At 32.7% G+C, this 11588-nt stretch overlaps 1 annotated feature.

Moving 5' to 3' along the window:
- Positions 9417 to 10616: an enhancer, noted in NCBI's record as "CDK7 strongly-dependent group 2 enhancer chr1:195950386-195951585 (GRCh37/hg19 assembly coordinates)". NCBI's record gives its function as "activates an origin of replication core promoter dependent on BRD2, BRD4, P300/CBP, MED14 and CDK7 cofactors, with strong dependence on CDK7, by STARR-seq in HCT116 cells {active_cell/tissue: HCT116}" and the evidence as "EXISTENCE:reporter gene assay evidence [ECO:0000049][PMID:35650434]".

The following is an 11588-nucleotide window of genomic DNA, read 5'->3' as shown; positions in this document are numbered from 1 at the left end:
GGGGATTATGGGAGCTACAATTCAATATGAGATTTGGGTGGGGACACAGCCAATCCATGTCACAATACTAGTTTAGAGAAAAGAAAACTTTGTCTGAAAGAAATTAAGTAACTTTCACAATGCCACCAAATAAATTCCAGAGCTAAAAATAAACCTATTTTAGTCCGGCTCAAATTTACACACACACACATATAAATAAACATAAATGCACCCTCATTTTTTTATTACACTACACTGTCACTTTAGTTTGGATAACCTATATTTTTTGAAATTTAGATAATTTAGATTACCTGTTTTTCTTGAAATTACTTTAGCAATTTTAATGGTTTAAGTTTTGGCAAACTGCAAATGAGAATTTAAAGCTATATACCCTTATCAGTAGTATCATAATGAAAGCTAATAATTTTACATCACTCTGTACTTCTCTAGTCCATGCTTATTAACTATGTTTGCACAGGAAGTATATGATACATTCATACTGACCCTTATAGCTCCTAATTAAATGGTGTGATGGTTAATACTGAGTGTCAACTTGATTGAATTGAAGGATACAAAGTATTGATCCTGGGTGTGTCTGTGAGGGTGTTGCCAAAGGAGAATAACATTGGGGTCAGTAGGCTGCTAAAGGCAGACCCACCCTTAATCTGGGTGGACACAATCTAATCAGCTGCCAGTGTGGCTAGAATATAAGCAGGCAGAAAAATTTGAATAGAGAGACTGGCCTAGCCTTCCAGCCTATATCTGTCTCCCGTGCAGGATGTTTCCTGCCCTAGAACATTGGACTCCAAGTTTTTCAGTTTTGGAACTCAGACTGGCTGTCCCTGCTCCTCAACTCCTATATATGTGTGTGTGTGTGTGTGTGTGTGTGTGTGTGTGTGTGTGTGTATATATAAATATATATACATATACATAAATATATATGCATATATAAATATATATATAAATATATATGCATATATAAATATATATATAAATATATACGCATATATAAATATATATAAATATATACACATATATAAATATATATAAATATATACACATATATAAATATATACACATATATAAATATATACATATATAAATATATATACCTATATAAATATATATACATATATAAATATATATAAATTTATGTACATATACATATATATATAAATATATGTACATATACATATATACATATATAAATATATACACACACACACACACACACACACACACACACACACACATATATTCCATTAGTTTTGATCTTCTAGAGCACCCTGAGTAATACAAATGGTTAATTCATTTGGAATAACTCAGTACATTGAATTTGAGCTTTAAAGCAAGACAAAACAAGTTGCTATTTTGTACATGGACTATGCATCAGACTAGTCTATGCATAGTTTTTATAAAATAAAAACTTTAGTAATCAAAACATTCCTTATTGACTTTTTTGGAACACTTTAAATGTCTGGGATTTCAGCTTTATTCTAATTATATTCTCTAATTGAAATTTGAAATGAAATGACAGGCTTAAAAGAGTTTGAAAATACTTTTAAATTCTTAATTATTTACTCTGTCTTTAATCTCCTTTTTAAGTAATTCAACCATTGGACACGTCAAAGGTATCCTGTGTCAGGGCTCCCTCAACACAATTCTATGTAATCCTCGAATGAATGAGAGATAAAGGGGTCTCTATCTAAATCTCATCATGGCATACACAAAATTTTTCATGGATGCAGTAGTTAAGAGAGGGTACTAATCTGCAGATAAGATTTCAAGTCACTCCTCAAAACCTATTAATATTTGTCATTATCCTGGGTATATTTGGTTTTGGGTATAAATAAAGCTTACTAACCTTTCTCTTCTTCATTACAGCACTTATGATTATAAAAATATTGGTTATCTTTTTATCTCTGATATCTTACTGAATAAGATGCCATGTCTACAAAGAAAATGAGATTGAGTATCTTCAGATATTTGTATTTTTCTGACTCCTGAGCGCAAATAAAATTCATGCTAAATTCATTTAAAAATGCACATAAGAATGCATACTATATAAAATTCATATTTGTCATAAAATATATAATAAGCTATGTATAATATTAATTATAAATTCCATGTATTATACATTATATATGTACATATGTTCTGTATGCACTTACTATATGGCATATAAATAGAAAGATTTGAAATATATATAAGGATTATTTGATATAATACTATAACATACAACATATTTTTCTTATATATATGCTGTATAGTATAACCTCCAGTATTAATCATAGTCAAACTGTGAAACACCATCCTATTTGCATATATATATATTTAATTTGCTCTAGGGAAATTAGAATAAGCCTATCAGAGTAATTAAGCTCCGATTCTCTACATATCTGAAGGCAGTGAAGTATAAAGAATGAGAAATTGAAACATAAATAAACAATATTGTCATTTAAGCTTATGCTGAAATTTAGGTAGGACTCAAAAGGCTAGCTCATTGTCTAAAATCTTCATGAATACTTACAATAAATATAGTTCTAATTCTGTTGCTGGCAAAAATTTATTAAATCTATAACTATTATTTAAAATTAAAGACACTCTTCCATTTCTTGTTATTCTGAAATGCATGAATCATCTGAAAACAAAGGTTCACAACCACCTATATTATCATGAGTGGTAATCAGAGGCAAAAATGATGCTTACTGAGTTTCTTTGTACCTTGTGAAACTTTAAAAAGACATTCATAAATCACTGCTAAGGAGAAAAGAATACTGGATTAAGTGGATTAATATCCCAGTGTTTGGTACAAACTTACTGACCTGATTAATTATATTTAAAATGGTTTTATTAAAACATTTGCTGGTGATATATAAGGTACTTTTAAGATGAAGTGAGCTTCTATATACAAAAGCAATTTGAAAATATATAAACTTGAAGCAAATTTATCTCGACTGAGATCAGTTATTATAGTTCTAATTAAAATGTAGCAGTCCACATGAGAGAGTATTTCATGAACTAATCTATAAGAAATATATAATAAATTTAATTCAAGGACAGGTAAATCCCTTCTTTTAAAACAGAGTGGTAAGTCGCTGATGTTTAATCAGCATTAATAATCAAAATTTTCTCTTTCTAATTTTATATGTTATATCCACTGTGATAATTCTATCTGTATCTATATAGATACAGATATAGACTATATATATATTAGACAATTCTTGCATTGCTTAAAGAAATACCTAAGACTGGGTAATTTGTAAAGAAAAAAGGTTTAATTGGCCCATGGTTCTGCAGGCTATACAGGAAACATGGCTTCTAATGAGGCCTCAGAAAATTTCTATTCATGATGGAAGGTGAAGTGGGAGCTTGCATGTCATGTGGCAAGAGCAGAAGCAAACCAGAGTGAGGGGATGGTGCCACACACTTTTAAACCACCAGACCTCCTGTGAACTCAGGGCAAGAGCTCACTTATCACCAAACGAATGGCCCAAGACGTTCATGAGGGATCTGCCCCCGTGATACAAACACCTCCCACCAGGCCCTACCACCAGCATTGGGGATTATAATTCAACATGAGATTGGGGCAGGGACAAATATCCAACCTATGTCAATATACATATAAAATATAGATGTATATTCAGACATAAAGAGTCTGATGCTTCTTCTGGGACTCATTTTAAGAGAGCAAAGCATTTAAGGAATTCATAAATTAAAATGAAGTAATATGTTAATAGATATCCATATAGTCCACACAAAAGGTGTCTATAGCCTTTTATAAATACCAAATACTGACACCAAATAATTATATACCCTTTTGTAAATAACCGCTTTTGTAAATACAAAAATATCAAGGTTTAGAGGAAAATCTAGACACACGTTATATTGTATCTTGGGAAGATGGCAAAAGTCTCATATAAATAATATTTATATATTTTGACTGGCAAGGAATAAAAGAAAACTGTTTTTGCCATCTCAAGAGCATACACATTGAGATAATTAATTTTATTTGATTGCTAATAATTTCTATATGTTGATTCCTCAAGTATTTATAGTATTCTATATGATGCCTATAAGTCAATGTCTGCAAATACTATATGGCATTGCATTTATTCCAAACAGTTAGGAGAGATTGGATATCATCACTCAAGTAAACATAAAAACAAAAAAAAATCAAACTGTCTCAGTTTTATGGTAAAAATTATCTTTTGTTTACATTTGCATTTATTTCACTACTGAAGAGATTTATTTTGTGTTGCTTTTACAAGTACTTGTATTTATTTTTATAAATTGGTTTTTGCATTTTTATCTTTTTGATTACCTACATCCTATTGATGGATATATGTGATGTGTTAATAGGATGTTCTATTAAAAAATGTAAGGATGTCTTTTGTGCAGTACTGCAGACATTCCAAGACAGACGCATCATTTGTTGTCTCTTCTTTCGCTAACTCCAGACATACATACACCAATTTCTTGCCTCAGAACAAAAGAACACTATATTTCTAGAAGACTTAGTTTATTTTTCCACAAATTTATTGGATCTGTGAGTTTATAATGCTCATCAGTTTTGGACATTATTTAGCCACTCTATTAGTTAGGGCTCTCCAGTGAGGCAGAACCAATAGGATATATTTATGTTTAAAAGATCTATAAAAGATTAATTATGGGAATTGGCTGACATGAATATGATCATGAAGGTGGAGAAGTCCCACAATGTGCTGTGTGCAAGCAGAAGAACCAGGAAAATGGGTGGTATAATTCAGTTCAAGTTTGAAGTCCTGAGGACCTGGGAGCCAATAATGCATCTCAGAGTCCAAGGCCAAAGACCTGAGAACTCAGGAAAACTACTGGTGAGTCCTAGAATCCAAAGGCCCAAAAACCTGGAGCTCTGGTGTCCCAGAACAAGAGAAGGTAGCTTTCCCAGCTCAATATGGGAGAATTCTTCTTCCTCTTTATTCTATTAGAGTGGGCCCTTAACATACTGGGTGATGCCCACTCACATTGATGAGGGCAGATATTCAGTCTATTGATTCAAATGCTAATTTCTTCTGGAAACACCCTCCCAAACACATCCAGAAATAATGCTTTACCAGCTATCTGGGCATCCCTTAGTCCTGTCAAGTTGAGACAAAAATTAACCATCATAGCCACTATTTATTCACATATTATTCAAATATTTTCTATCTCCCACTCTTCTTCTTGAAATCCAATTACATATATAGTAAACCATACTATTTCACAAAGAATATCTTTCTTTTTTCATTTCTTCTTTTTAAAAAACATTCTCTGTTTTAATAGTCTGGATAACTGGAATACTATATCTTATAGTTCACTAATATTTAAAAAACAGGTTGAGTTATAATTGACATGCAAATACTACACATATTTAATGTATACAATTTCATGAGTTTGGACATATGCATGCATCTGTGAGACAGTTACCACAATAAAGGTAATAGATGTGTACATCACCTTCAAAAATTTTCTTGTGTTCCCACTTTTACTGTTAACTATAAGTGCTATGTTTTATAGGAGATCTGTAGAATTTAGTCATCTTACATAACTGAAACTTTATACCAGTTGAACAGCTCCTCAATTTTACCTGTCCCCAAGTCCTGCTAAACAGCATTTAATTTTCTGTGTCTATGGGCTTGACTATTTCACATGATCCTAAGGACTCCACATATACAAAACAATCTGTTAGAACTAATAAACTAATTCAGTAAGTGAGAAAGCTCTCATAAAAGTGGAACCATGCTGCATTTCTTTTTTTCTGTGACTGGCTTATTTCACTTAGATAATGTCTTACAGGCTCATCCATGTTGTCACAAATGGCAGGCTTTCCTTCATTTAAAAGTCTGAAAATATTCTATTGTCTGTATATATCATATTTTTATTAATCATCCATCTGTCCACAGACATTTAAGTTATTTCCATATCTTGGCTACTGTGAATAACAGTGCAATTAATGTGAATACACAGATACCTCTTTACAGTGTTAGGTCTTATGTATAATTCTTTAATCCATTCTGAGGTGATTTTGGATATGGTGATGCCCATTCTTACCACCTCTATTTAATTTAGTGCTGGAAGTCAACCAAAACAATTAGAAAAAAAGTGATAAATGACATCAAAACTGGAAAGGAATAAGTACAATTATCTCTGCTTGCAGATGACTTGGTCTTCTAAACAGAAAATCCTACGGACTAAACACACACACACACACACACACACACACCCCTTTTAGAACTAATAAACTAGTTCTGCCAAGTTGCAGGTTAAAAATATTAATATAAAAAATCAGTTTTCTTTCTATACATTAACAGCAAACTATCTCAAAAAGAAATTAAAAAATAATTTTATTTAGTATCACATCAAAAAGAATAAAATACTTTGAAACAAACTTAACCAAGAAAGTGAAGGACTTATACCTTAAAAACTATAAATTATTGATAAAAGAAAATTTAAAAGACACAAATAAATGGAAAGACACCCTGTGTTCATGGATTGGAGAGTTTACTATTGCTAAAATGCCCCAAACCCGAAGTGTTGTACAAATTCAATGCAGTCCATATCAAAATAATAATGACATTTCTACACAAATAGGAAAACAATTCTAAAATTTACATGGAAACACAAATGATTCCAAATATCCAGTTATCTTGAGAAAGAGGAACAAAGCTGGAGGCATGGAATTTCCTGATTTAAAGATATATTATGGTGCTACAGTAATTAAAACCGTATGCTACTGACATAAAAATGGGGCCCATATAAACCAATAGAACAGAATAGAGAACCCAGAAATAAACCCAAGTATATACAATCAACTGCTTTTCCACAAGAGTGCCAAGAATATAGGATGGGGAAAGAATGGTCTCCTCAACAAATGGTGCTGGGAAAACTGAGCAGCAGAGTAAAATTGCACCCTGTTCATTTTCTGATCTTTTCTTAGGAGTTCTTTAATCTGGCATTAAGCATAGCCAATAAATTTTTCATTTCAGATAATTGCATTTTACCCCCTTAGAAGGGCTTTTTTTTTCTTTTTTCACTAAGTTTACGTGACTCTTTAGGTAATTTATTTAAAATATTTTGACATCTTTATCTTCCAATTCCATGAATTCAGTTCTTTTTTAGGCCTGATTTTATGACTGATTTTTCACTTGCTTGTGGGTCCTTCTCTTCTGTTACTTTGCATCTCATATTTTTTGAAAGACTATTGCCTATCATTAATCTTACATTATGATTTTCTGGATAAAATGTTACTTTTTAAATGAAAGGCACTTAAATTACTTTCAGATCAGCTTTATCACATTTAGGCCAGTTTTAAGCTTTATTAGGACAGGTCTAAAATAGCTTTTAATCTTCATATATTTCAGTCCTCTTTCTGGTGTTACTATGGATAGCTCCAGTGTTCAATGAGACTGCTCCATGCTGGCTTGTTAACACCAGGAATTATTTTTGAGCTCTGGGAATTATTTAGCTTATAGTGATTTCACAAAATTTCTGGATTATTCATCTAGTGTCTGTGGGATCAGTAGTGATGGTTTTCTCTCATTTCTGATATTGGCAATTTGTGTTCTTCCTCTCCCTCTTTTTTCTTCCTTAGGCTGGCTACAGAACTATCGTTGAGCTTTTGCTTTCAATTATTTTCTATGTTGTTTTCTCTTTCCATTTTTTTGTTTTCTGCTATAATATTCATTATTCTGTTCTTTCTGCTTATTCTAGATATAAGTTGCTCTTCTTACTTTCATTTTCCAAAAGTTTAGTTTACTGATTTAGATATTTCTTCTTTTCTAACAAATGCATTTAATATTATAAATTATCATCTAACATGAATATTTAAAATTTTGATAAGTTGCATTCTTGTTTTCACGTAGCCTAAAATAGTTTTTGTTCATCTCACTTAGAAATGCATCATAAATTTCTAAATATTTAGGAATTTTTACATATATTTCTGTTACTGGTATCTAGTTTAATTTTGTTATGAACCAATAAAATATTTTATATGACTTGTACTAGTTTTTAAATTTGTTAAAGTCTATGGTTTTAACATTGCTAAGGTTAATTCTTCCTATGACATGGGTAAAAATGTATGTTCTGCTATTGCATAAAGTATTATATAAATGTTTATTAGGACAAATTTGTTGTTTGTCTCCAGGTCATCCATAGCCTTGATATCCTGCTTACTTGATATTGATATTCTACCTGCTTACTCTATTAATAACAGAGAAAGTATAGAGCTGGCTTTTGTTTTTATATTTAATCTCTGAATCTGTTTTTTATCTGGTAGTTTTAGACCTAGAATTAGCAAGCCATGGCTCAAAGACCAGCTATAGCTTATCACCTGCTTTTCTAAATAAACTCATATTGAAAACAGCCACACTCATTTATGTATGTATTGCCTATGACTGCTGCATAACAACAGCAGAGTTGAGTTGTTGCCAGATATAACATATCATCCTCAAAGCCTGTGATATCTACTAGCCAATTCTTTGCATAAAACAGAGTAGAAAAGATAATTGAAGATAATTGGTGAATAGACTCTTAAATTGTTTACATTATTTATTTATTGTTGCATAACAATGTTACCACAAAATTATTTGCATAAAATAGCATGCATTTATTACCACACAGCTTCTGTTAATTAGGAGTCTGGTTACAACTTAGTTGGCGCTTCTGTTTCAAAGCTTCATGAGGCTGTAATAGAAGTGTTGGTTGGTAATGTAGTCTCATCTCAAGGCAGAACTGGGGCAGGATTCACTTCCAAGCTCACATGGTAGTTATGACAATTCAATTATTTGATGTAAGGTTGGAGGCCTCATTTTCTTGCTGGTTGCCAGGAAGAGGTTACCCCAATTCCTAGCTGATGATTAGTTGGAGACTTCTCTCAGATTCTTGGGTTCCCCAAGATGACATTATGCTTCTTCAAAGCCAGCAAAAAAGAGAGTCTTCTAGCAAGATGAAAAATACAATCTCATGTAATATGATCATGGAAGTGATTATCATCTTTGCTTTACTCCATTGGTTGGTAGCAAATTATGAATCTTGCCCACACAACTAAGAGAGAAGATTCAACAAAGCCATGAATACAAGGAGATGAGGATTTGGAGGGCCTTTTAGAGTCTGTCTGCTACAATATGTTTCCCCCACTCTTTGGGATTTTGTCATCTTCAAGTCCTAGTCATGTTGAGACAGACTTGCACTTTAAACTCTGCCTTTCAGTCCTGTAAAAAGTGCTGCCTTCAGCTTGGAACCTACTTATTCATTGCTGTGATTTGGAAAATTTCCTCAAAGACAAAGCAATCATAAATATGAAGCTTAACCTGCTTGTTCTTTCTGTTAAGTAATGTCCTCAAGCCTTGCCTGTATATGTTTCCCTCAAATTTCTTCAAGTGGTTCTAAATATTTTTTTCATTCTTCATATTTATATTGGTTGTAGACTTAGTCTGATATAAGGTGCTGTGGCGTCTGCTTGATTTATTTATAATTAATTTTCTTGGCATAGGTTGGCAAGATTGTGGTAAAGAGCTGACAATGGAGTGTTACATTTTATTGTCAAAATGAATTTCCTTGGAACTGTAATCTCATATGGAGACATTGGAATTCCACATCTGGTATGTAGGTGGCATATATCAAACTTAAAACCTATTATTTTGATATCCCAAATGTACCATACATGCATTAAATGCAAAAAAGAAAAAACCCTGTGTAGTCATACCTTTGCTAACTAGGTATTTACTGCTTCCTCTTTCAAACTTCTTGGCTTTAAAAAGCATGCATCTAACTTTATTGGCATTTTCTTGTCTTGATTTAAAGGAAGACTTAAGCACAGTATTAGTCAAGGTTCTCTAAAGGGACAGAACTAACAGGATATATGTGTATATGAAGGGGAGTTTACTAGGAGAAATGACTCACATGATTACAAGGTGAAGTCTCACAAGAGGCTGTCTGCAAGCTGAGGAGCAAGGAATCCAGTCTGAGTCTCAAAACCTCAAAAGTACAGAAGCAGACAGTGGAGCCTTCAGTCTGTGGCCAAAGGCCTTAGAGTCCCTGGCAAATCACTGGTGTAAGTCCAAGATTCCAAAAGCTGAAGAAGTTGGAGTCTGATGTTCAAGGGCAGGAAGCATCCAGAACGGGAGAAAGATAAAAGCCAGAAGACTCAGCACGTCAAGCCTCATTCCACTTTCTTCTGCCTGCTTTATTCTAGCCGTGCTGGCAGCTGATTAGATGGTGTCCATCCAGACTGAGGGTGAGTCTACCTTTTCCAGTCAACTGACTCAAATATTAATCTCCTTTGGCAGCACCCTCACAGACACACCCAGGAAAAATACTTTGTATTCTTCAATCCAATCAAGTTGACACTCAACATTAACCATCATACACATAAAGAAAATCTTGAGCTATGCATGTTCACAGCAAGGAACAAAGTAACATCTGAATATTAAAAGATGGATGAAAAATGAATATTGATGAAACATATTGTTACATCTTTCTATATTCAATATAATATTGTCCTTTTGTCATCAGGCATACCAGCACAAAGACCAACAATTTTTACAGTCTAAATCATGTTATACTTTGTGTTGTTACTCTTGGGGAGGGGGCAAATATATCCCATTCAGTATCTGGAAATATATGTATCCATAAAGGGGAACCAAATATGCATACTCTCTTAACAATAATGTATTGTCAGGAAATTAAATGCCTGGCCCAAAACTGCATTTTCTAGCCCTACATTTTTATTTAGATGGAATAATATGACTAAAACTTACTAACTGCATTTGATGGAAGGAAACATTTTTAGAACAAAGCAGTTAAGGAGTAGATACTTCTTTTCCACTCTTTATTTTGGCTTCAATTTTCCTCCTTATGCTACCTTGATACAAATGAGGATGGTAACTTTGGAAAACATTTCTGGAAAGTGGTAAATAGAAGAAGCCTGTTCCTACATCTCTGCCTAAAAGAAAGCCAGTCACCAACCATGATAGTGATTTTGAACTCCATTAGACAAGAAATATTTTTTTCTTCTTAGATGCTTTATGTATTTTTGAACTTCTCTAAGTGTTATCATTATCTTAATAAATACATAATAAAAGATATTTAGTCTTTAATACAAAATTATACTATTGCATGTGAATAGTATAGTGAGCATTCATTTTACTAAATGAATTATGATTCACTTCAACTTGGAAAAATGATATATATATATAAATTTGAAACAGCAATAACCATCTCAAAGTGCCCTAGATAAAGATAGCCAAAGGTTATCCTCTCTGGTAATAGCTACTGGGAAACAAATTACTCTAAACTTAGTGGCTTAAAACAACAGTCATTGAATATCTTACAGTGTCTGTGGATCTAACTTCTGAGCATGATATATCTCAATTCCTCCGGGTCAAGACCTTTCATGAGGCTGCAATCAAACTACCAACTGAAACTAAAGTCATCTCAATGCTTGCATGGGGAATGATCTGCCTCCAAGTTCACTCAGGTGGTTGTTGACAGGCCTTAAATTTTCTTTGACTCTTATTTGAAAAAAAATCAGTTTCATGTCATGTGGGTGTTACATAAACGCACCAAAGATTGCCCTTATGTTAATGTAG

Source organism: Homo sapiens, chromosome 1 (assembly GCF_000001405.40).
Source record: "Homo sapiens chromosome 1, GRCh38.p14 Primary Assembly".
Taxonomy (NCBI): domain Eukaryota; kingdom Metazoa; phylum Chordata; class Mammalia; order Primates; family Hominidae; genus Homo; species Homo sapiens.
Note: the sequence above shows the minus strand (reverse complement) of the source record. Positions and strands in the feature narration are given on the sequence as shown.